The sequence below is a fragment of the Homo sapiens genome, chromosome 20 (assembly GCF_000001405.40).
Source record: "Homo sapiens chromosome 20, GRCh38.p14 Primary Assembly".
Taxonomy (NCBI): Eukaryota; Metazoa; Chordata; class Mammalia; order Primates; family Hominidae; genus Homo; species Homo sapiens.
The window spans coordinates 9,322,885-9,349,794 of record NC_000020.11 but is presented as its reverse complement, the minus strand read 5'-3'; the positions used below and the strand labels follow the sequence as shown (position 1 = coordinate 9,349,794).

Below are 26,910 nucleotides of genomic sequence, written 5' to 3'. Positions count from 1 at the left end.
TTTTCTCTCCCAGGGGCCAAAAGGTGAAATACAAACTTCACATTATGCTTCTAGTGCAATTAGAGTAATTCATTTTGCATTCCCTTGGTGGAGTCATTTGATAACACTTGCAACTAGGACAAAATGAGCTTCTCTGGGCTGGGTCTACAGTCTCTTCTTATGAAACCTGTCAAGTTCATGAAATGCAGTGGTGAGAAAGGCTCCAGCACTGAAAACCATGTGCCCCATGAAGAGCACAGCATTTCAAACACAACTGTGAAGGAGGCTGGATGATTTCTAAAACAGCAAGAGCTGAGCGCCCATGAAAATCCACCTCACAGATCATGGGGATTTGCGGTTACATTGAAACCTAAGAAAAAGTTTTAATTTAAACAGGAAAATTCATATAATAAAATGCAGTATATTAAACAGCATGAGTCCAACTGCATATAAAAAGGAAAGTGTGTGGGGAATAAAAAGACTCATTAGAGTGGTTATCAGCGCTGTGGGGAGAGGGGATGGGGAGGAACCCGCTTATTGGGCATGCAGTTTCCTTTGAGGGTGATGAAAATGTTTTGAAAGTAGGTAGAAGTGGTGCTTGCTCAACATGGTGAATGTACTAAATGGCACTGAATTGTTCACTTTAAAATGGTTAATTTTATGTTACATAAATTTCACTTGAATTAAGAAAAGACACAGAAGGGGAAATACACTCTAGGGGATTTTTAGTTTCTTTTTCTTTTCTTTTCTTTTTTTTTTTTTACTATCCTGTACTTTCTGCATAGAATGTCATGCAACTACATCCTCTATCATGAGCAACATTCCTTTAGCATTCAGGAAATACCAGTCAACAGTATAAAAACACACTGTCCATGCAAATGTTTAAATGACCTTGTCAACATGGTCAGTGCAGCTGCAGAGAACCTGGGAGCTAAGCGGAGGCTTGAGGCCTCTTTCATCTTTGATACTCTCATCCAAAGAAATAACTTCACTGATACAGGTGACAAAATTCCCCGAAAACAACAGCAAATATCCTCTAGCTTCAGCTGCATGTTCCTGAAGAATCATTTTGACCAGGAGCTTTTAAGTAAGTCCAGCACTAAGAAAAATGCCAGCTAAAAATCCACACTTAATTCCTTATGAAAGTAGGGAGTTTCAAAAACAAACAAACAAACAAACAAACGTAGACCTTTTCAGGATTTCAGAGGCCTAGAGATGTGCCACAGAGACAGAACAGAGCTCGCCCCATGGACAAGCCCCTAAGGATCCTAAGTAGTATATGATCTCTGTCCTATTGCATCACCCATAGCAGGTCATGCAACTAACAGGTTCCTCAGAGAAAAAAATTTAAACAAATTCATTGTTCCTTTTTCTCCCTGATCCAAAGTAACCAGACCCTCAATTTCTGATTAGCTGTATCATCGTACTCCCAGTTAATCAGAATCAGAATCTGGTCTCTATTTTAGCTTCTCTAACTTTACCCAGGAACAAAACCTCTGGATTCCACACTGAATGTTTCTCAGATCTTTCCTTCTTGTGTAACTGATTGAAGCCGAGAACAACTGATTTTCTTGCATTCTATCTCAGGATCTCTCAACCTTTAATGTCCACAGGAAGTACCCAGAATGACTTCTGTCACCTCTCCAACCACAAAGCCTCCTATCCTAGTAGCTGACTCCTGGTGTCATGATGATGTAGTCCAGGTTAAGCTTATCTAGGGATTTCCATGTGTACACAAGTGTCCTGTCAAAGCAACTAACCTGGACCATCCTTGGCTCCTGGTACACTTTATTTTGCAAAGAGAGTGCTTCCTTAAGTTTTTTTGTTTGTTTGTTTTGTTTTTGAGATGGAGTCTCACTCTGTTGCCACGCTGGAGTGCAGTGGCGTGATCTTGGCTCACTACAACCTCCACCTCTTGGGTTCAAGCGATTCTCCTGCCTCAGTCTCCTGAGTAGCTGGAACTACAGGCATGGGCCACCACGCCTGGCTAATTTTTGTATTTAGTAGAGACAGGGTTTCACCATGTTAGCCAGGATGGTCTCGATCTCTTGACCTCATGATCCACCTGCCTCAGCCTCCCAAACTGCTGGGATTACAGGTGTGAGCCACCATGCCCAGCCAGTCCTTCCTTAAGTCTTATAAGAGAAAGTGACTTCAAAGGACACATGGTGCAATTCCTTTCTTTAACAAATGAGGATTAAAAAGATTAATATAATTGAAATGATTTGTCCAAGTTCAGGTTTCATCAAAAAAATATTCCTGGATGAATAGCTGAATGAAGAAATAAAGGAACAAACAGGTATCTTTCATTTAAAATGCCAATAAGGTGAACACAATAAGTCAATATTAGCATTCACTTTAGTGCAAGTGTGTTAATGCTACATGGTGCCTGATGTCTATAGCTATGGTTCTAAATGATCCACAGACATGTTTGTCATTTTGCACAATGTTTAAAAAATGAGTTGCCAACATTTTAATATCAAGAGATTTCATGTAAAAAATCCACGTTAGTATTAAATGGACATGAAAACAATCTAGAAACCTCAGGCCCATGTTTTGGTAGTTGGAAAACTAGCTGGAAATAAGTGAAAGTGCCCCCCTCAACAGCGTATGTGCACTCCAACTTGCTAAAGTCCACACCCTCCCGTATTTGTCTTTGCCTGACATGTTTTCAGCTATTCACATCATTTCCCTGGCTCCCACAGGCATCTGAGTTCACAAAATCTGGTCTAAAGGAACTATCACTTTTGGTGATGCACAAATAAATAATTCAGAGTTCAGAGAGCGCCATCACGGATGAGACACTGAGGTAGCAGCTGCTAGGAGAGATGGTCTTGCAAGAGCAAATGAGAACTGGCAGGCAAGGAAGAAGGAGCCACAGAGGAAAAAGGTGGTCATGGGAGGCCCCAGGAGACTGATTTCACCAGCTCCACAGATTCTCTGATGACCACAGCCCATGTAAGGCAGAGACTGGTGGTCCGTAAACTCAACCCAGCAATAGAAATAACAATAAAACCCATTATCCTTATTTGGCAAAAAGAAAACTCTTAGGTGGGATGGGACATTTAAACTTAAGAATATGCACTCAATTATTTGTTCTGATTCACAGCTCTGCACTCCGGACAGCTTAATGCCCCCCCTCATTGATTTGTTTCCAATGAACTCAGAAGAGCTTCAAGAAAAACAATTAACAAGAAAATGTCAACTTTCAGTCTTGGAAACGTTAAAGAAACCCAAAACAAAACAAAAATTAACACAGAGACCTACACACTCATCCCACATTTGAGCCTCAAAAACTGTTGAAGCAATGTGGTGAAGAAGCTTTTATTAATTAGTATACTGGGGTTTGGGTGATCAATAGGCAGTTCAGATTTACAATTTAGCTGCTTTAGTATTCAGCAGGCATCAGCTCAGTTGAGCCTGGGCATCAGACCACTAAGTTAATGTAAGTTCTTTAAGGCCTCTGCAAGTAAAGCAGGATATAAATGTTAGTGATTGAGCTTTTCTGCTTAGCAGTGATTCTCTAACTTGAGTGTGCATAAGAATCACTTGGAAGGCCGCTGAAATCCTAGCTTTCTGATTCAGTAGGGTGGGGCAGGGCCTGGGAATCTGCATCTCTAATAAGTTCTCAGGTATTGAGAGCCACTGGCCTATACAGTATAATTAAAACTGAATTTTAAGAAATGCAATAGCCTTTCTAAGAAGTCCCCAGACGAGGCTGAAGCCTCTGATCCCTTGGGGTAATGCTGTGGTTAAATATCAGTAGAGGAACTGGTTGCAGGGCTTGGAGGCTTTGCAGGATGTTAGCAAAGCCAGGAGGACTCAATTTAAATAGAGAATCAATTTTTTTTTTAGTGAAACAAAGAATAAATTCCTTCTTCTGGAACCATTGCAGTAAGTCTTTCACTCAACACAATTCAAGTTTAGCAAAGCAATTTTGACTTTCAGCCCAATTTGTTAAAATAATATTTTATTACTGGTAACAAATAACCTGACTTTATCTTTTTGTACACAAAAGAATACATAATATTTTTGTAATTTAATTTCTATAGTAGTTATTTACATGCTTATTTGATGACTTGATTACAAGGCATAATTTATGAAGTTTGCCAAATATTTACAAACCTGCATAAAGTATAATGAGCAGTCTGGTCTAAACTCAATCCCAATATTTGCATTTTGAACGTCATAATAACAGCTTATTTTTTGTAATCAAAGGAAAATTCAACTTGGTATAGAATAACAGATTTATTTATGGAGATGTTGAATGAGGCCTGCATTTCCATCTTACGTCTAGTGACTGTGATTTCAGTTTGCTGTGCAGTGCCAGCTGTAACTTATTAATGAAAGACATCTGAACTGCCTTCAACTTTGCTAGACACCAAAATCCTTCCAAGCTAGTTGTATTCTGAGCGAGGAAAAAACAAAAGAAAACATGAGAGGAACTAAAGTTGCTTTTCTAATGAAATTAACTTATTAGAATGCTCATATTCAATTATTTCTATAGTGCCTTGTAAAACAGTGAGCAAAAAGATGAGAATGATTCCAGGAAAAAAAAAAGAGCTTTATTTCAGTTTAGAAAAAAATGGGAAAATACCTTCATTTGGCTGTATTTATTCTTTTTTTGAGATGGAGTTTCACTCTTGTCGCCCAGGCTGGAGTGCAGTGGTGCAATCTCGGCTCACTGCAACCTCCACCTCCTGGGTTCAAGCAGTTCTCCTGACTCAGCCTCTGGTGTAGCTGGGATTACAGGCATCTGCCATCACACTGGGTAAATTTTTTGTTTTTGTTTTTTTTTAGTAGGCTGCATTTATTCTTAACTGTTTTAAGCTTTATGATGTATAAGACTCGCCTATTAGCGAAAGGTGTACTAGGTTTGGGGTAAATATGACAGCAATTTGTTAGTAATTCTTTTTAACAGGCAGTTGTTTAGGAGAGGAAATGAAAGCTAAATTCTCTAACTGTAACGACAGGAAGGATTTAGGTAAGCAGGACATAATGATCCAAACTGGAAAGAGGCCAGGACACCAGGGTCAAAACCTCCAGTCTCGTCATGGATTCTTAGCAGCAGCGCTATTACATCCTGAAATGTGGCTCTAAAAATAACACACGGGATCCCAGAGTTCTGTCTTTCCTTTAGACTATCATTGAATCACATTTTCTCAGTCTTGTTGTCAAAGGATCATCTTCCTGTCTGTTCTAACAACTGAACTGTACAAACTTGAGTTGCACAACATTAAGGTTTATACACCTTTATCACTTGGGTTGGAATTCATTTAGTCAACATAAATACCTCAATAGAATAGGTTTTTATTGAGCACTCACTAAGTGTCGGGCACTGACAGTTCTAGATGTTGCAGATACAGCAGTGAACAGAACAGTGCCGTCCTGCAGACAGAGGAAGAAAATAAATGAATAAATGGATATTATGGTAAGTAAGTCGTGCTAAGAAGAAACACAGAGCAGGAAAAGGAGTGAGGAAGTGCCGAAGGCTGGTGAAATGGGGAGCTCCTGCTAAGACAATTTTCCAGCAGACACGTGAGGGCTGTGGGGGAGAAAGCTCTGTGTGTAACTGGGAAAGAGCACGATACAGACAGAAGGAACAGCAAATGCCAAGTCCCAGAGGCTGGAAGAAAATGCGTAGGAGGAAAGAGAGAGATTAAGGTAGAAAGGGGAAGGGAGGTGGGGATGATATCTAGCAGGGCCTTGGAGGGTTCTGAGCAGTGGAGTGATGTGATCTGAATTACATTTTAAAAACATCCCTCCAGCTGCTGTTTTTAGACTAGACCAAAATGGGCAAGGCTAAGGAAAAGAGACCAGTTAGATACCTCTTGGGGCACAATAGGGAAGAAATGATATTGGCCTGGACCATTGGCCTGGGCCACTGTGTCGTGATGACGTTGGTGAGGAGCAGCTGGATTCTGGATACCTGCTGAGGGTAGAGCAAACAGTATTTGTGAACAGACTAACATAGGACACAAGAGGAAGGTGTTCATGGTCTCTGCAACTGAGAATGGTCTCTGCAACTGAGAGCACATTTGTTGAGATGAAAATGACTGTGGGAGAAGCAGGTGAGAAGAGTTGAAAGCTTTGATTTGGGACTTACCGGTAGAGGAGAAAGGTATATAGAACTGAGCACAAATCTCCTAAATAGGTAAGAGTGGCAACACAAACGTATTTACTCTCAAAGCAGAGAGAGAAGCTGAAGAAAAGACAAGGTGAGCTACCAAGGTGTCTCTTAACAATGCTGTTATCTTTTACTGAAAAAAGCACAATCATATTTTCAGAGTCATATGCACTGGAAAGTATTTTGTATTTATTTAAAATTCAACCCTGAGAAACTCAGGTTTCAGATAATATTTTATTGACTCTTAAAGCACCCACTTGAATATGAAAAAAAAACTATCAGAGACCCTCTTTGAGAAGTAGAAGAATACAGAAGGGAAAATGGCTTGCTGAAAGTCAGGAAAGCTTCCTCCACATGGAACATGGTCCTTGGTATAAAAGACACTAAGTTCAAAGTTTACCCTTTTGCCTAGATTAAATGTTGGGTTAAGTGAATTATTCCAAATGGTCAGATCTTAAGTGTAATAAGAGCCTAGGAATTAAAAAAAAAAAGACTCATGAATCTCATAGGATACTCATAAGCAAGTTCTGTACTAGAAACTCACTTAACTTACATTTCACTTGTCAGACCAAGACTCATCAGGTGTTTATAAGACAAACAAAATACACAGATTGCCCAGGGAGTGCTGGACTCTCCCAGCCAGCAAGCCACTTTCCAATATTTTGTACTCTTTTACTCTCACCTTACATGTCTACCATGGGTTACTTTTGTTTTCAAACCTATTTATTGTCAGTTGTCATAAAAATTGCGTAAACCAATGACACGATCTTGTGGAAAGAAAGGGCATTGTTGTTTCTCTAGCTGAATATTTTGGGAAGATTTCTTTAAAGGCAAGTTGCCAAAAATATTTTTCTCAAATTCCATGTAGACAAGATAACTAAAAGATTAGGGAAAAAAGTCACAGAACTGTAGGATTTTGCATTCCATTGCACTCTGCCCAATGAGTGTCCTTAGTCTCAGATCCACCTTAAAGAAACCAAACTGGCTATCTGAGGCATTCAGAGTAAAGTACAGGGGGAAAAAAAAAAAAAACCCCAAAACATAAAAGCCACGCAACAGATCCACAATTAATGAAAAGGCTTGTCCCTAACATTAAAAGATTAGTCAACAATAGAACAACATTTATATGCCTTAAGTTACAGTGTTTAAGGTATATATGAATTAATTTTAAAAAATGATTACTTGCTCGAATTGACTTTTGTGATAAACTGACCAAAAATGCACCTTCTCATTGCATGGGCTAAGTAAGAGGGCTGTTAGTATATTTCATGGCCCCCTGATTCTAGGCTCCTAGGCTATACTCACGTTTGAGTAGAACCACTCAGTGAGTCACAAACACTATTTCATGTACCCTGGGAAATCTCTACATTTCTCATTGGCCCAATTTGATTTATGTATCCTGCCATCATTTCGAACTGAGGTAATTATATCTATGTGTATTTCATATAAAGACTTTCACTTTGATGGCTTGTGTGTTCTATTAGGAATAGAAACACATATAGAGGAATAGAAATAAAACGGTGGTGATGGAGAAAATGTTGTCAATGCTGAAGGTGGTAAATATGGTTATTTTAAGTTTTGAGATAAGGAAGGGGGCAAGAGTATCCACATGCAGGTATATTTGGTGGAAAAATGTACTCAATATTTTCTCCAGTGTCAATCAACCGAAAGGACAATGCACTGTCCAGTTTGGACAATGAGATTTATATTTATTTATATATTATGCTATTAATGAAATTCGATGTAATAGTTCCCAGAAGCTGAAACACTTAGTTTCTTCAGTAAGAGCAGGCTCAAATAGTATTGAGTTTGAATAAAAAATCCAATACAGAATTATTTTTTAGTTCTTAACTGGCTAGCTGCTCTTAAATTTCAATGGCAATAATACTAGGAGAAAACCTTCAAATCTTCCCTTGAAGTATACATCCCCCCACCCCCAACCCTCAAACATATATCACTGGTCATGGAACAACATGGGTTTGAACTATGTGGGCCCACTTATACATGGATTTTTTTTCAGTAAAAGTTACACCAATGTGCCTGCCTCTCCTGACTCCACTTCCACCTCCTCCACCTCTGCCACCCCTGAGACACCAAGACCAACCTCTTCCTCTTCTTCCTCCTCTGCTTACTCAACGTGAGGATGATGAGGATAAAGACTTTTATGATGATCCACTTTCAATTCATGAATAATATATTTTTTCTTCCTTATGATTTTCTTATTAACATTTGCTTTTTCTCTAGCTTACTTTATTGTAAGAATACAATAGGTAATACATATACCATACAAAAAGTATGTGAATTGACTGTTAATATTATCATAAGTCTTTCAGTTAACAGTAGGCTATTAAGTTTTGGGGGAGTCAAAAGTTATACATGGATTTTCGACTGCACAGGGGTATGGTAGCTCTAACCCCCACATTGTTCAAGGGCCAACAGTACACATCCATAATCTACTCAAGGGTATGTTTCAGAACGTGGTTCTTAGAATGGGCCAAGACTAACAGCAACCAAATTATGGAAAGCAAAAACATTATGGGATTTACTGATTTGAGCCATCTCCCCAGGACTGTATTTGCTCAGGGCACAGAGCAAAGTGGGTGCAGCATATAGGGCATGAGAAGACCTGGTTTTAGGTTGGACTCTGGCCCAGCTTGCTGTGTGGTCTCAGAGTTCCTTTACCTCTCTAGCTTCATTTTTCTCATCTGAAAAATGAGGTGAGAAGCCCTTCCTAAGGTCCATTTCGAACTCTAAAATTCTTGGCCTCTGTCATCCTAATAGCTAACACATATTAAGGGCTTTCAATAAGAAAGGCAGTACACAAAGTGCTTCCCACGTCATAACTCATGTAAGCCTCACAATCATCCTAAGAGCAGATATTCTAGTACTGTTCCCATTTTACAGATGAAGAAAATGAGGCACAGAGAGGTCCAGCGTATATCTGCTTCACATAGCTGGGAAGGGGACGAGCAAGGATTTGAACCCAGGCAATGTGGCCCCAAAGCCCCAATACTTGAGCTCATACTGCATCATCCTGTTTCTTGTAATATGAATTGGTAATTAGAGAAGGAGTTGATCTCAGAAGAGTAATAAAAGAACTTGAAGGCACTGCAAAATCTGTTCTCCCAAAGTGAGGTGACCTGAACGATAGCATAAAACCACCACAATAAGGACAGAACCAAACACTCTTATGTGACATCGAGCATCCACTTCTGCCTCCAGAGCTACAAAACAGGAGTTCTCAAACTTCACCACACATCCGAGTCACCTGGAGCATCTTGTCAAAAATGAAGATTCAGGATCAGAACATCTGGGTGGGCCTGAGACTCAAATGTGTAACAAGCTCCCAGGAGGGGTCTGTACTTCTGGAATGAGGACCATACTTTGTGAGTGAGGGTAATGGAGCTTGGATGGTTTAGGGGTCAACAGAACTCAATTCTGCCATAAGTTATCCTGGATTCATGGTTAAGTTTTGTAATCTCAGTGTCCTCAAATGATCTTCCCTGTACATTTCCTGTTAGCTCTAAAATTCAATATTTCTAATGATATTAGAAATTCAACCTACACTGAGTTTCCACTTGTTGGAACCCTCTCTCATTCAACCTACACTGAGTTTCCAATTATAGGGTTAATGAGAAGACAAAATGCCTCCCCATTCCCCCAAACCCATGTTTCTGCCATGGAAAGTGAAGGCTTAGTCCTTTTCACACACATTACAGAAAGATAATGGGAGCTCTGTACAGAGGTAAAATCACCCTGTAAACACATGATTAGCAGACAAAATATTTACGAGGCTTTCTACTTCTTCGAGAAGTCTCTTTGAGACTCACTTGCCAGGGCAATGGTATGCTGGATATGGTATTAAAAGACTGATCTTAACCCAATATTTTAATAACTTATTGGGAGGGGGGGTTTGGATTTCTTAACCATCCAGACCCGTACTGCCCACCCAGTATGGTGGCCATTAGCCATATGCAGCTACTGAACACCTAAAATGTGGTTAGTCTGATTTGAAAATACACATCAGATTTCTAAGACTTAGTATGAGCAAAAGAATGTAAAATATGTCACTAATAAATTTTATATTGATCTCCTATTAAAATGACAATATTTTAGGTCTACTGGGTTAAATAAAATATTTTATTAAAATTAATTTTACCTGTATCTTTTTACTTTTAAAACCCAGCTACAAGAACAATTTAAATTATATATGTGGCTCACATTGCATTTCTACTGGGTGGTACTGATCTAGACCTTTGTCACTCAAACTGTAGTTGTCAGATGAGTAGTATCCATGCCACCTGGGAGCTTGTTAGAAAAGGAGAATCTTGTCCCCACCTCAGACCTATTGAATCAGAATCTGCATTTTAACAAGAGCTCAGGGGATTCTGGTATACACTCAAGTTGGAGAAGTGCTGGACTAGTATCCCTACAACATATCGTAGTAGGTATTTGGGTTGTTGGCCCACAGGAGTGACATGCTAAAAGGGTATTTTAATTGCTGATTTTCTACAGAAACATGTCAGCAAAGCAATGCTAACTTTTAAATTACCATACAATTTAAGTATATAAAAATATAGCACGCATAAAATTAAACACACAACATATATACATGGTGGGGAAGAGAAGGAGGCCATTTAACTGAAGCTACCTTAGTTACTTCTGGATTTTCAGCCACCATGTAGGTAAAACTAATGTTCACTAGATCTGTGCCACTGCAGACACAAACTATCCGCCCTTCCAGATCATTTTCTGATTTTCCAACAGCTTCAAGAGCAGCCAAGATTTTGGGATCCTGTATAGAGGTACACAGATAGAAAAAAAAATAAGTTACATCACAGAGCATGGAGGAAGAAACGTGGTAAAAAGAAACCACATTTAATGTAAAAATAAACATAAGGGCCCAGACACCTAGCATTATTCTAAAACCTGTAGAGGTGAAATTTGTAACACTATATATTCCTTGAAATCAACTGATAAGAAAGGTATTACAAATTTTTTGGTTGGGGGAGGTACAGAGTCTCTGCTCTGTCACCCAGGCTGGTGAACAGTGGTGCATTCTCAGCTCACTGCAACATCTGCCTCCCAGGCTCAATGGATCCTCCCACCGCAGCCTCCTGAGTAGTTGAGACTACAGGCACATGCTAACACACCCTAATTTTTGTAATTTTTGTAGAGACAGGGTTGCACTATGTTGCCCAGGCTGGTCTCAAACTCCTGGGCTCAAGGGATCTGCCTCCCTCTGCCTCCCACAGTGCTGGGAGGTGTGAGCCACTGTGTCTGGCCTAAATTTTTGATTTAGAAACTAGATATGAGGGTCTTTGTTTAGAGTTTTGATTGTAGTTATTGGAGGACCTGGAATATGGCAATTGGATAGAAGAGCCTTTTATTAGGGTCTGCTTGTCCACAAAGCCTCTCTCTCACCAGAGGAGAGTCACAGAGGTTTCATGTGAATAAATGTGACATTACCACAACCAGCAACCACATGCTATTCTCAAAACTGAGATCAAATGTTTTAAGTAGCCTGGATACAAAGAGTGAGTTTTTTATCTCTAGAAGCCATGGCCATTTCCAATATAAGTAAATCCGTGTTTAGAAAAGCAAATACCAATCACAGGTACCTTTGGTATGGCTCCCGACCGAATACTGTTGATGAGGGAGCATTCTAGCACCTGTCCTTCCTGAAGAGAGAGAATACAACACAGCAATGAGCTTAAATTATGCCATACCTATGATACAGGCAAACTGCTTGGCAAAAATTTCTGATGATGAAGGCAGTGCTGATTACAGTCAGCTTGAAGAGGGAATTAAAACCATGTAACAATAATTATTGTAAATAATCAGAAATAATCAAGACCCCAAGTATTCCATTTCACATATATATATATACATACATATAGACATATATATGTGCAATGCTGAATATAAAAATGTTTCTAAAATCTGTTACTTTTATATATAAAACATTGTTAATAATCATTAAATACATGTGTGTACATGAAATGTGAGAAAAATGCTAATTTTTATATAACTTTAATTCTTTTCTTAAATTCAGCTCAATTGTTCATTAAATGTGGACACTGTACCATACATCGAATTAAGTCCCAGGGTATAATGAGATGAACACACTTTTAATGTACCTTTTAGATTTCAGCTTGAGCATCTCTTCTTCTGGCAGATTTCTTTCTAACTCCCAAGATTAAATTAAGCTCTTTGACAATCCAGTGTTCTCTTTCACAACATTCAATGACTTGTAACTTATTTTTTAATGCCTGACATTGCTCCTAGACTGGAATCTATGAGGATAATGTCCTTAATCATCACTGTATACTTCAATGCCTGGCACATGTAGGCACATTTTTAAAAATCTTGAATGAATGAATAAGGGTAGGGTTCATCAACAGCACTCAGTCTACTTGTTGAGAAACAAAATGGCTTAAACCACAAAGCAGAAAGAACAACTTGCTCTTCTTGGGCCATACCTTGCCTTCACTTCTCCATGTCAGAAAGAAGCCAAACTCATCCACTTTGAAGAGGCAGTTGGGTTCAAACACAAAGGATTCCTGTCAAAAAGAAATGTGTTGATCTTCATGACTCACACCATTTTGAATCTAATAAAAATGAAAATATTGCTGAGCTTCTAAACAAATTAGAAATCACTCTTTTGTATGTAATATCCACAATTCTTATTGTATTATGGAATGTTTTCATTTTGAAAACTCTTTGCTTTCAATTTTGTATTGTAAAACTGATCAATTTAATAAAACATCTTGCTCTAGGATAGGTTTAAGAACAAAGCATACTGACTGAAAGCATGAAAGTCATAGAGAAGAAAGTTTCCTTAATATCTTGGAAGAAGGATTCCCAAGTTCTAGCCCACTGATGTCAAAAATCAGGAGATACATTATTTTTTAAGTCACTGGTTTTTGTTTTGTGTTTTTTTTCTTTTTTTTTTTTGTCTGTAAAATCTAGCATTCAGATATTTGCTGAGATTTTTGCTTTTTTATCTAACCTCATTTGGTGTCCTGTAAAGCGCATCTTGAACAGCCCCTAGAGCTAAAGTGTAGTCACTAGACCAGCAGCATCAACATCAGCTGGGAGCTTTACTGAATTGCAGAATATGAGGCCCCAGTCCAGATGGACTGAGTCAGAGTCTGGGGGGATGTGACCCAGCAATCTGTGTTCCAACAAGCCCTCTAGAAGATTCGAACACACACGAAAGTTTGACAACCATTGCTTTGAATTTTGACACCAGAAACTCAGGGAAAGCTACAGAATGACGTTTGAATGAAGAAGCAATATTAGCCAAATTCAAGGCATCAGAGCATCTGTGTTACACTTGCCAACTGACTTCTTGTCTTATTAGAGCACCACTGTGCTTAGGAATGAGAGGAAAAATCCATGTGAATGAAAGAAAAAGGGCATTTGGGAAATGAACATAGATGTCCTGTGCCCTCTGACTGCATTACACCAATACTTAGCATTCACACTTCAACAAATCTACATGTTCTTTTCATGAGCTGAAGAAACTGGCTTCCTAGATCATTTCAATGCCAGCAATTAGGAACCTGTCTGGCAAACATGGATCAAGGCAGTGCCTTAAAACAAATAAATAGTAATTACAGGATTAAGGTTTTAAGGGCCGTTCAGACTCTTAGTTTCACCTGTTAAAATTTATCTTTCTAAATTACAGGGGAACAACAACATTTATCAAGGTAAATCCAATGCCAAGATACTAGGCCATCATAAAGTAGTCCTAGGGGTCCCTGAACAAAGCAGCCTTCAATTTGGGTAGTTTTCTGGCAGATGAAGTATTACTGTATGTATTTATGTATTCCAACTCTGTATCAGGCGTGTGCTCTGTACTGCTGTCATTGCCATGAATAAGACCAAAGGAAAGGGCATGGTATAATTTTTGCTTTAGGAGTTAAAACCCAGTTCCACCATTTGTTATGTACTCTCTCCCAGAAAGACCCTTTCTAAATTTCAGAATCCTTGTCTAACAAGTGGAAGTAGTTCCACCTACCTTTTGGGTTTATTGCTGGAATTAAATGAGATGGTGAACATAAAGCACATAACACAGAATTCCAATTCAGCAAGTAATAGCTCTACCAACAATGCATGGTTCAGACTTGTAATAGTGGTAGCAAATTATTAACAATATGAAAGTGCCAGTATATGACATTTTTTGACCCTTCAAAATGGCATTTTTGGACAGTTCAACCTTTTAGAAAAGGCTTAACCCAGAAGTTGATACTTTAGATGAATCTTCATGCCAGGCAGAGTGAGCAGCTATTGACCTCACATTAGAAATTTGTTTGTGTGGCTAGAGCACTTCAAGAGAATGACAGGGGGTGTGATGGGACATGTATAGAAGAGTTGTTTCATTGCAAGGGTCTTCCGTGCCACCTGAAAAGCATTAGCTATTACCCAAAAGGCCATGGCGGGTCTTATGTTGTTACTGACTAAAAAAATGAGAATTATCAACTAATCAAGACATAAGAATTAGCCCATTTCCAAATATATCCCAATGAATATCCTGACGGCAATGAAGAATTTTGGTACACAGTGTACAAAAGTACATCGTAAAATGGTGTTTACAGAGTAGATCCACAAAGAATCAGCCACTATCATTCTTATGTGCACCCTATCACCTAATTCCAAGTAAGGATTTGAGATGATTCATGAAATACAAATAATAAATAAGAATGGGTTTCCAACTTATTTTGAGAGTGAACTTTCACTTCCTTGGCCTCCTTAAATACAAAATTCTTTTCTTCCTTCCCCCCTGAGTACCCCTAGAGCTTGCCATTACCACCTGGACATTTCAATTCCTAATATCTCACTCTTGGAATTCCATCTGGTCCTTCTAGCCCCTAGCTCTACAGTTCTCCCCTCCTATATTTGACTTCTTTGCAAAGTCAAATATCCCTTTTGATTATCCCTGCCAATCTCTCACTACGCACCAGTTCCCTCCTCCTTTTACTTCCATCCTTATCTAGCTTATTTCCAAAGCAGCCCAATATTGCAATCACTCCCTCACAGGTGGTTCGCAACTTCCATGTCTCATTTAGTGTTTTCTTGGCCAAAAAACGAAGTCTATTTTATGCATACTTTATCACCAAACTTGGTGGTGAAAATCACAAAATGGAACTGTCTGGCTTTAGTTTAAATTCAAGATTATAAACCTCAAATGGATAGTCAACAGTGACGTTTAATCTTATATTTCCTTCTCAATGGTTACTTACTACCCCACTTACTACCCCATGTCCCTGATCCTCTTCAGGACATAATATCTTAGAAATATTCACTGTTTCCATTACCTCTCTTCATACCATCTGAGCAACTCTATCTGGCTTCCATTTCTATCACCCTCTAAAACTTCTCTGGCCAGTCCAGCATGCTGCAAAATAGGAGTGCACACCTTCCTTTCCTCACCTGAGTTGATCTCTGAGAGTTTGATTATTCCTTCCTTCTTGAAACACTCTCCAATCCTGGTTGTGCTCCATTACCTTAGTCTAATTTCCCGCCTTTTCCTTCTGTACTCAACTTTTACATAGTCCTCAGGACTTGGTTCTGGGAATTCTCATTTCCACTGTGTTCCTAGATTTCATTCAATCTTGTGTCTACAATATCATCTATTTCCTGATGACCCTCAAATTTGTAAGAGCAGCCCCATCCTCTCCTCTGTGAGTTCAAATATTTGCTATTTGACATCTCCACTAGGATGTCTTGAAATAAGTATGTCCATAACTGAACTCTTTATTCTCTCCCCTCCAAGTTTCTCCATCACAGTACTTCCTTAGTTCCATAAATGTCACTAGCATCTGGTCACTTATTGAAACTAAGAGTCATCCTTAATTTTCCCTCATCTTTTCCTCTCACTTTCAGTAGCAAGTCTTCTTCTATAATATTTCGAATACACACCCACTTTACTCCCTCTCCATCACCACCCACCTTGGCCCAAACCAATATTATCTCTCCCATGGATTGATCTTCTCACTTCTGCTTTTTCTGCTGCCCATAGGAGCCAGATTGATTCTTTAAACTTTGAATGAATTTATTAAAACCATTCAATGGATTCCTATCATATTTAGGATAAAATCCCAACTCCTTACCTGGCCGAAAAGGTCCTGAACGATCTGGGATCCTTCAAATTTTATCTCATGCCACTCTCTGTTCTTCCTTCTATTTCTTGTTCACAACCATAAAAACTCTTTTCCTGCAACCCCTCAAGCTCTCTCTAGCATCAGGGCCTTTGCACTTGCAGTTCCTCTTGCTCAGAAGTCTCTTTCTACTGCCCTTGGTGCATCAGGCTCCTCTTCATTCTACAGACCTTGTCTTCATTATCCCCTCCTCAGAGAGGCTCTCCCTGATCCTTGATTTACTGACTGACTCCCACACCAGAATGCAACAACCTCCAAGAGGGCAGAGTCCTTGAAGCAGTCTTGTTTACCTTTGTGTTCTAGCACCTAGCACATCAAAAGCACCATAAAACTAACAAATTAACTTAAAAATAAATGAAAAAATGAATTTTTTTAAATAAAAGATTTTGCAGCAGGCCAATATGTAAAACAAATAAACAAGAAGTTGCTCAAATTGAGGGGGCTGCATCAGGCCCAGAACCCAACAAGGAAGTCCTTGGAAGACTGCCAAGGATAGAAGTGCAATTACAAGGGCACTGGTTGAGGCCGTCTGCCTAAAGGCAGGAGTCCCTTTTTGTAATGCATACAAACTCATCTTCGAGGTTGGGGGTGACTTTGAGGCACGTCCTGGGAATTCCTATTGAACCAGGAGCACTGTTTGACACTGTGAAGAAATCATTTTCAAAATAGGATGAGAAATCTGGGCAAAGAGAAGAAAAATAAAGTGGAATAGTAAACTAAGGCCAGAGTAAAAGGCAGCTCTCTGAAATGCCTGTCATAAGGTCCTACACAGTTATAGCAGGATAGCAACTTGGCTCTGGGCTCCCCAGCAACAAAAGCAAAAAAGGGAAAAAAAATATTTACCAGGTGCCCATCCAGCTCATAAAATAAAAACGTATCAGTTGTTAAGAGAAGCAATTATCAGAATAGAAATTCTCCAGGGGGATCTTAGAATGAAACCCAGCTGACACTAAAGACCAGGCTCACGACAAAACCCACAATCAGCTCATCAACTGTGGCTGAAAGGTTCTTGGACCAAATGCTTCAAACCACCCATGAAAATTCACAGAGCAAATCTGAGGGATGAGAGGTAATCAGCTGAAAGGAACTAAAACACAATCTAATTTGGTTTCTCACCACCTCCTACTAACAAACATAATAACCCTACCCTCTGGTGAGTAAAGACACATCATGTCTATTCTTTTTTCCCTAACAGCAGTTTTAAATTTCACATGAATCCCTCCTGACCTGAAAGTGGGCTATGGCTCCCTGACCAGATTGAGGCCAGGCTATTGTGAAGTCCCATTGTCAGAAAAATCCTCCTCCAGATCTGGGCCCTGCAGGGGAGATCATAAAAGAAAGCTGGAATGTTTCTCCTTTGGGAATCTATTTGTTTTGCAGTTAAATGGTAACAGAATTTTCTGGTAAAGAAACAAACCATAAGAGAACTTCCTTGGGGGGTGGGCAGAATTTTAATTCTCATATTAGTTAAAATTCATCAGTCACGCCTTAGAGCTCAAGGACACGTTAGCTCATCCAGCCCAACTCTTAGGCCACTAGAGAGCAAGGCTAGAAAGGGACAGGAACACCTTTTGTGAAACTACTTAAGCAGAGGCCAGAGGGCATTCTGTTTGAGAGTCTAGAATCACTTTTGCTGGAGATCACCATTGCTAGAAGCTATTTCTGGCTCAGAGATCCCCACTCTGAGGGGTTTGTGCCACTACAGGCTTACAGAGACACTTCCCTCTCTTATCAAAGATAGAGTATGTTTTTCACTTGTGTGTTATTTTTAGTATATTTTCCCTCACACATGCTGTTTCAACATTAATCAATATCACAACCTATTTTTCAAAGATTCAAGTTACTTTCAAATCAACTAACATTAAACATTTTTCCTTTATTTCAATTTTTAAAGTGATTCTGTTCAATAAAGTTTAATCCCCTCATAAGGAATGTCAGAGAGTTCAGCAGGCCAAATACTCTGATTGAAGTGGAGAAATTCCTTGGATGGGGATACAGCTAAGTGGTAGCTGATTTTATTTTAATTGTGAGTTGTAGTTATTTCTTACCCTTTCTCTCTTGCCCTCTCTCTCGCCATCACTTCCTAAGTTAACTGCAAATGTCTGTATCTTATACTGTGGAGTTGGCATCTTCAAATAGGGCATAGTCAAGTCTTATTACCAGCTAGGGACAGCTATTTTGGACCAGATCATAAAAGCTTTAACTCTACCTTATTTAAACATGAGTTGGCCAGGGGCTTTTCTGTGTTTGTCACTGGACAGATACATTAGGACGTAGAGAAATGTGAAATGGAGTAGGCATTCACATTCCATCACAAAACTGCGTTTTCTGGGAAAGAAAACCTTCAGAAGAGGTGGCAGTCCACAGTGGTTTTGAGATCCAGGCCTTGTAGTGGTTGGTTCCTGGGTTTGCATGTCAGCCTCCTCACCAGGCAACTGCTGGAGAATCTTGCAGTTATTCTGCTTAACCTTGCCATATTTCACTTTTCCTAGCTGTAAACTGGGAAAACTGATACCGACTCACAGGGCTTTCAAAGAATTAATATTGAGAATGTCTAAGTACCTGGGACAAAGTAAATGCTGACTAAATGGTCGTACTTATGAGAAAATAGCTACAATTTTAGGGCTCTTGTTGTGAGGTATTTCACAAATACTATCTCACATAAATCTCATGATAACTCTGCAAGGTTTTAGACTAGATCAACATTGTCCAACGGATTTACCGTGATGATGGAAATGTGCCAGATGGGTTCTGCCCAATACGTTCACCATGAGCCACAGGGAGCACTTGAAATGTGGGTAATGCAACCAAGTGCTGAATTTTTTATTTTAATTAATTTTTCATTTAAACAGCCACAATGTGGTTAGTGGTTACCATATTGGCCAATGCGGTTTCAGAGAGAAGGGGGGAAAAAGGTTCAGAGGAGACTAAATTATTCAAAGCCACAGTCAAATAGTAACAAACCTGAAATTCAAGCCAGCTTCTCTGATTCCAAAGCCCATGCCTGTCTGACTTGGGCAAACTTGACCAAGCAGGGCCCCTCTGCCTATCGCCAGAAGATTGTTGGACGGTCAATAAACGAACACTGCCTAGGTAGACTCCACTAGGTACATATGAGACTCACCCTCCTTGCTTCCTGGTTTGATAAGAATGGAGAGGAAGTTAAAAAGACCTTGTCAAGGTTGGAGAGAAACAAAGAGGAGTCTGAGGAAGAGGCCATAAAGGATCTCATTCAATTTAAATCACATTATGCGTGACTACCACCAAAGAGACCTCATAAACCAGGGAGAATGATGGGTGTGGCCTTCAGACTGGGAAAGCAGGTGGAGTCTGGTTTGGAATTAACCAAGAGGTCTAGCTTTCTATCAGATCCTGAAAGCTCAGAGCCCAAGAGATGCTTTATGGCTTATTTATTTCCTCTCCTTATTCCAGGGAAATGCTTTAAGCTTCATACCTAGCAGATCCTTTGTGATTCTGCACAAACACCGCCTCTCTCAGAACCACAAATTTTTATTTTTTTCAAGTTAAACTAAAGCCCTCAGTGATAACATCCTGCCATCAGAATGATTTATGGACTGATGTAATAGATGGGCATGGGTCCTTATTAAGTTGCTTTTACCCTCATGAGCTTGGTCTCTTGCTTGGAAGGATATAGAATGTTCATTCCATTTGTGCCTCTCCTATCTGCTTTAAGATCCCAGGAGATAAAGGACACTGGGCCTCTCAGCTCACATTCCACATGAGGAGCCAGAGGGCACGGCTGTAGCTGCTCCATCACAGACCCTTGCTATGTGCTACAAGTATTACCTTGTGAAAAAATCTGTCAGACAAAATAACAGCATGTGTAGCTCCTGCATTCCTTTTGATGGCCTTTGATTCTTTGGACAGATGTTCCTATTGGGTTAAGTTGTTAAATATAGACCTTTCCCCCTTCCACCAGTAACTGATGCTCAGCTGGAATCCAACAGGGAGATGCCGTTCTAGTCTCCTGATGAGCAATTCAAAAGGCCTGTGGCACCTAGTAATATGCCTACTATTGCTAGGTAACATACACAGTGCTTCCTAAGAGCCAGGCAACGCTCTAAGTACTTTCTCTACATTAACTTATTATCCTCCCAACATTCCTATGAGGGAGGTACCATTTTTATTATTGATATAGGAGCTAGAAAGAAATTATTAGGCAGATAGTGTCAGTACAAGGAGTCTTCGGCAAGGCTTCCCTTTTAATAAAAGTAGCCCCCAAATCATTTCTTTTCTAACAAAGAGCAGCCTGAAAAACCGAGCTACAGACATAGATAAACAAGCTGGAAGCTTGTACAGGTGAATGCTGGCAGCTGCGCCAAGAGAAGGCTACCTGGAAGCCAGGTATGTTCAACACGGAGGCTCCATCTTCCCTTTTCTTTGTCACCACGTGTACAATAAGGACGAGGCAACATGGCACCAGCCAGCTAGAATAACCATCTGCATAATAAAAGATTAGGGTGGAGTGGCCAGCTTCTTTGCACACTTGCAAATGGCATGCCTCCTCCAACCGATCTTTCATCCCCTGTGTAAATCACATACCCCCTCCTTAAGTTCATTTATTAAACTTTCTGCATTTCACTGCGGAAGTGGCAACCCATTTTCTCCAGGAGCCCTTTCTGTGCAGAGAGCTCTTCTCTTTCTTTTGTCTATTAAACTTCCACTCTTAACCTCACTCTGATGTGTCCACGTCCTAGCTTTCCATGGCTGTGGGACAACGAACCTCGGGTATTACCCCAGACAAACAACGCTGCTTCACTATTTATACCTATTTTACAAGTGAGGACATTGAGGCATGCAGATCAAATGTTTTGAACAATATGCTACACCTGCTTTGAGGCTGACACATGAAAGACTGACAGTGTTCAGGAGTGGGCTCAGGTAACTGCTCAGCAGTCGGCTCAGGTAACTGCTCAGCAGTCATACCTGAAGAAGCCTCTGCTATTCTCCTTGCCACTGATGCCAGCAATCATCACAAAGGATCAGATGGGTTTCTGAAGTGTTTTGGTTTTAATTACTGCATTTCTTATGGATTCCCCGTGAATCCTACCACATAGATAACTGAACAACTGTACTACTGAAACATTCTGTACTTATTACAGTTTTTTATGGGGGAGTGTATTTTGTAAGAATTCTGTAAGAATTTTTTTTCAGATCCTAGGACCAGGAAAAACTCTGTTCCTACTGACCTGTTGCTTTCCTTACAATCTAATGGACACTGTGAACCCTACAACAACTTGTGTTTTCTACATTGCTTTAGCCACCAGGAACACCAGAAGCAAATCTGAGGCTCACCTCTTTCAACTTTACAGATCATTTTCGCTGCTTGTTGAGTTGCTGCCTGCTAAATTTACCCCTCATTTGATGTACTCTCCCTTGTTTACTTTTTTCCCTTCAATCTAAATCCCTCTTCCGTTATTTTATCTGGTGGTACATATTTCACATTACAGCTTCCTGTGGAAGGTGAGAGAAACATGTAAGCATAAAAACCAACTCACCAGCAGCAGAAACAATTGGGTATTTTACATAGGCTTTAGGGTTTTAGATGAACCTGATCCAAATGTGGTTAGATATTCATTTCTTCATCTCTAAAAACAGAGACAACAACATCAACCACAATACCTATCTCACAGGTTATTTCTGGGCATTAGAGCACTTGACACATAGTCTGAACTAAGTAAATTAGTATTGATTTTTTAATTTTGTTTTATTATTATTTTTTTTTCGAGATGGAGTCTCGCTCTGTCACCCAGGCTGGAGTGCAGGGGCATGATCCCAGCTCACTGCAACCTCTGCCTTCTGGGTTCACGCCATACTCCTGCCTCAGCCTCCCGAGTAGCTGGGACTACAGGCGCCCACCACCACGTCTGGCTAATTTTTTGTATTTTTAGTAGAGATGGGGTTTGTCTGTGTTAGCCAGGATGGTCTCAATCTCCTGACCTCGTGATCCACCCACCTCGGCCACCCAAAGTGCTGAGACTACAGGCGGGAGCCACCGCGCCCGGCCAGTATTGATTTTTTTTTAAGAGACAGAATTTTGCTGTCATCCGGGCTGGAGTGCAGTGGTACAATCATAGTACTCCAGCTTCAAACTCCTGGTACAATCATAGCACCGCAGCCTCAAACTCCTGCGCTCAAGCAATCCTCCTGCCTCAGCCTCATGAGTAGCTAGGACTACAGGCATTCACTATCATGGCTGGCTAATTAAAAAAAAAAATTTTTTTTTGTAGAGACAGAGTTTCGCTATGTTGTCCAGGCTGAACTCGAACTCCTGGCTTCAAGCAGTCCTCCTGCCTCAGCCTCCCAAAGCACTGGGATCATAAGCATGAGCCACTGCACCTGGCCCAGTATTGATTATTAATATAAAACATAGTAATAATAATCATTATAATGTTGCTAGTACTGATTATTATTAACCATCAAAGACAAATGAGGTAAACACCACCATCCCTACCTTACAGATGAGAAAACTTTTCCTAACTGAGGTGAGGCAAGTCACCCAAGAGGATGCAGATAATATATAATATGAGGCAGAAATACAAATACATTTTGACAGGGAATCCATTTCTGTTACACAGATCTTTAAAAAGAGCAATGGTATTAGTGCATGTCTATTTCCAGTGAGCTAGAATACAAAGCTAAGCATAAGGGAAACCCAGAGTTCGTAACTCTGGGTTGACTTAGACTTGTTGAAAATGTGGTTTCTGCACAGAAGGTCATCTTCTGTTTGTTCCTGCTCCAACTCCTCCATCCCACTCTGCCTAAGCTGGCCTCAGTCTACAATCAGGCCAAGAAGCTGCTGCCACAGACGAGCCATCACAACACAGTTTTTATTTTCAAGTGCATGTTGGGGTATAGTGAACAGAAGAGGTCATTCCTGGTTGGGGAGACTCTGCCCTGCACCTCCCTGACACGACAGAGCACGTTCTCAGATGACAAGAGGGCAATGAAGTGAGTTATTCAGCAACTTCAAAAGGTGGTAAACCTGCTGTCTATCTTTCATTTCAAAACCAATAGGAACAAAAATGAAAACGTCTCTCCCTCAGTAATCAACCATGAGCATTTAAAGTGCTCATTCCAGCAATGACAGTGAGATACAGAGAACGCTTATTCTGGTGTCAAGTAGAAAGATTTAATCCACCCCTTTCATTTTATTCTTACCTCAGGAATAAAGAACATCATCAACTTTCTAAGTGACCTGGCTTGGAAGAGTGGATGAAGGCTATTGAAAAGAAACAAAGGAAGGTACACCATCTTTTCTGATCTCTCATATTATATATTTAAAAAATAAAATAAAATTTGGCCTGATGGTGCTTACCAAGGTCCTATGGTCTGAATGTTTGTGCTCTACCCCACCAAAAATTCCTATGCTGAAATCCTAATCCCAAATGTGATGGAATTAGGAAGTGGGGGCCTTTGGGAGATAAATGGGATTAGTGCCCTTATAAAAGAATCCAGAGAGACGGCTGCCCCTTTCACCCACCGTGTGAAGACACAGCAAGAACGTGTCATCTTGGAATCGGGAAATGGGCTCTTATCAGACACCGAATCTACCAGCACCTTGATGTTAAGCATCGCAGCCTCCAGAAGTGTGAGGGATAAATGTGTTGTTTATAGCTGCCGAGTGTATGGTATTTTGTTATAGCAGCCTGAAAGAACTTAGATACAAGGTCTCAGAAATATCCTTGGTTCTTTGAGAATTTAATCAGCTTAACTATGATTGAATCTGGGGGAGAAATGAAATGCCCAGATTAGCCACCTGGGAGAGGCCAAACTGTTTCTAACGATTGACTTTATGGTCACTAATAGCTAGGGATTCCCACTTTATCTTTTACTTGACGATATAGATGTTAAATCTTTGGGACTTGATTTGTGAGGCAGGCCAGTTTGAATGGCTGAACACTCCGGATCTGTCTAGGTTTGTAATTTTCCCTCCCTGAAGTGTCTCTGCTGTGAGGATTGTGAGGCAAAATCTGGATGCTCAGATTCTGGGAGGGTTCCCTGACTCTTGCCAGAAAAGAGGTGAAGAAATTATTCCTAAAATATTCAACAACTACCTCTCAGAGTGCAGAAGGAAGGAGAAAGCAAAATGTGTTTTCAAGAGGAGTGGGTGGTCACTCAAAGTAACTTTCTTGGGCAGGAAAACTGTCACAGTAGTCAAAACAGTTGCCTTAGCAACTAAAATAAGGAAAAATTAAAGAGGAACAACTTAGAGTTATGGAGGCAAGTAAACAGGATTCTTAATAAATATTTACAACAAATATTAAAAACACATTATGTGGCTGTCCCCTTATAAAAAAATCCTAAGAAAAACAGGAGACGTGCTTTGTAGTTGCACCGGAAACACCGCCGCAAACTGATAAGTTCTTCTCTTTAGCAAAGCATTTCTAATTAAAACACAATTAGTTCCAGCATAATAAATTACACTGAGCAAGTAATTAAAAATACAGTGACATAGAAGATGTTTCTGAAAAGGCAGGTCTATGAAAAAATATTTTAAACTATTGATATATGGAGATAATAGACAATGCTGAATACAGTCATTGAAAGAAAAGGAATCTCAAATGACTTTTATGGAACTTCCCTTTAAATATATGCATTTCTCATTTAAATAATGCAGCTTTTGAAAATGCTTTTTTTTTTCCACAAGAGCTGCATGATACGTCACTCCAGTTGGACTTTTGTCTTCTGAAATAGCTTATATTTAGGCCTTGAAGATACATAGTCCCCACTGGCTCTTAGGGTCAATGCTGGCTCTGTCACTTTTTATTGTGTCTAAAATAAGTGCAGCAATTACTGGAACATCACACAAGAACCACTGCTACCACCTAGAGAATTCTGCAGTGAGCTCAGAGTCGGCCTCAGGAAATGGCAGCAGAGTCCTGGAGGCTTATCCTGAGGACCTCTTACCCTGAGGGAAGGGCTTCTCCATCTAGAAACAAACCCCCAAGACATTTCTTAGGGAAATGAGAATGGGAAGATTGTATTTTTCATATTATTTCCCCCACATTCCCCAAGGAAAGTATTTACCAGGGCTTTTTTAGGATTTGTTGTTGTTGTTGTTGTTGTTTTTGAGACAGACGGAGTCTCACTGTGTCACCAGGCTGGAGTGCTGTGGCATGATCTGGGCTCACTGCAACCTCTGCCTCCCGAGTTCAAGCGATTCTCCTCCCTCAGCCTCCCAAGTACCTGGGACTACAGGTGCATGCCACCATGCCCAGCTAATTTTTGTATTTTTAGTAGAGACAGGGTTTCACCATGTTGGCCAGGCGTGAGAGCCACTATGCCTGGCCTTTCTTTTTTAAATTTCTTTCTTTTTTTTTTTTTGAGACAGGACCTCACTCTATCACCTAGGCTGGAGTGCAATGGCACAATCATAGCTTACTGCAACCTCTAACTCCTGGGCTTAAGCAATTCTCCTGCCTCAGCCTCCCTCCTGAGTAGCTGAGATTACAGGCAAGACAGAATTGGAAATGTGAGCAATTCATTAGGGCAAATGCCTGTGAAAGAGAAAGGGGAGAGAAACCGAGTGACAGGGAGAGCCTCCAAACCAGACCTCAGAACAAACACCTGAGAGAGGAGAGGAGGGAGCAGGGAGAACTGGGGAGGAATTGTCTCAGCTTGCAGTACAGCTGAGAACATTGCTGGATTGCAGCTGCAGAGCACAGAACGCCCACCAGAGGAGCCTCACTTGGGCAGGAAAGGCCCGGTTGTAGCAGCTTGCCATGTTCAGTACAGCCTGGGCAGGGACATTTTGAGGGTGCTGAAGCCCCTGCAGCAAAACTGTCCAATGAGGGGACTCCTGGGGCAGCTGTCTCTTGAAGGGAGATTTAAGCGACACACCTCCATAGCTGCCACAGATAGTGTCTCTGGCTTAACCTTTCTCCACATTCCAAAGTGACATTTTCAGTTCCAGTTCTTTGGGGCTTTAAAATTCCTTAAAAATTAGGAACCATGGAAATATCAATGAATTTCAGTCTCAGATAAGTAACTAAGGAATTGCTGGATCATAGTAGGTACTTATGAAATATGTTGAGTGATGAATTAATTCCCTGGTGGGGATACAGCAGGAAACAAAGTCTACTCTCAGGGCTTATCTTCTAGAAGGACTTCAGCAATGAACAAAAAAGAGTAAGTTATCAGGTAGTGATAAATGTAACAAATAAAACATCCAGAAGGGTCAGGAGCCTGTGTGTGTAGGTGAGTAAGAAGGCCTCTTGGAGAATGTGATATTTTAGCAGAAACAGAATGAAGTGAGGAAGTGAACCATGAGGACTGTACAGAGGAGAGTAGTCCAGAGGGAGAACAGCAAGTGTAAAGGCCCTGAGGTCAGAGTGTGCCTAGAATGCTCAGGGAATATCAATGGGACAGCGAAATGGTAGGTCATGTAGGGGACTTGCAGGACACAGAAAGAACTTTGGAAATTACTTGGAATGAGGTAGAAACCCATTAAAGGTTTAAACCAAAAGAAGGGCATAATCTGACTTCCATTTTTAAAAAATCCATCTTACTTATTCCTTATGATGGCAATGCGAGGTAGGTATTATCACTCCCATTTTTCAAACAAGGAAGCTCTGGCTTAGTGCTTGGTGGGTGTTAAGACTGACTCATGGTCAC

At 40.3% G+C, this 26,910-nt stretch overlaps 1 protein-coding gene across 17 annotated transcripts in view; it reads right to left on the bottom strand.

Annotated features, from left to right (window-relative positions):
• PLCB4 (phospholipase C beta 4) overlaps positions 1 to 26,910 on the bottom strand; it is a 412,131-nt gene that overhangs the window by 131,014 nt on the left and 254,207 nt on the right. For 16 of the 17 annotated variants that reach the window (XM_024451898.2, NM_001377134.2, XM_005260724.3 and 13 more), the window contains 3 exons: positions 12,589 to 12,669; positions 11,728 to 11,787; positions 10,758 to 10,901 (listed from right to left, as the gene is read on the bottom strand). In XM_024451898.2, coding sequence (XP_024307666.1) covers positions 10,758 to 10,901; positions 11,728 to 11,787; positions 12,589 to 12,669 — 285 coding nt within the window. Of the gene's footprint in view, positions 1 to 10,757; positions 10,902 to 11,727; positions 11,788 to 12,588; positions 12,670 to 16,224; positions 16,519 to 26,910 lie in introns of those variants that run through there. The other variant, XM_017027884.2, reaches the window with a different exon arrangement.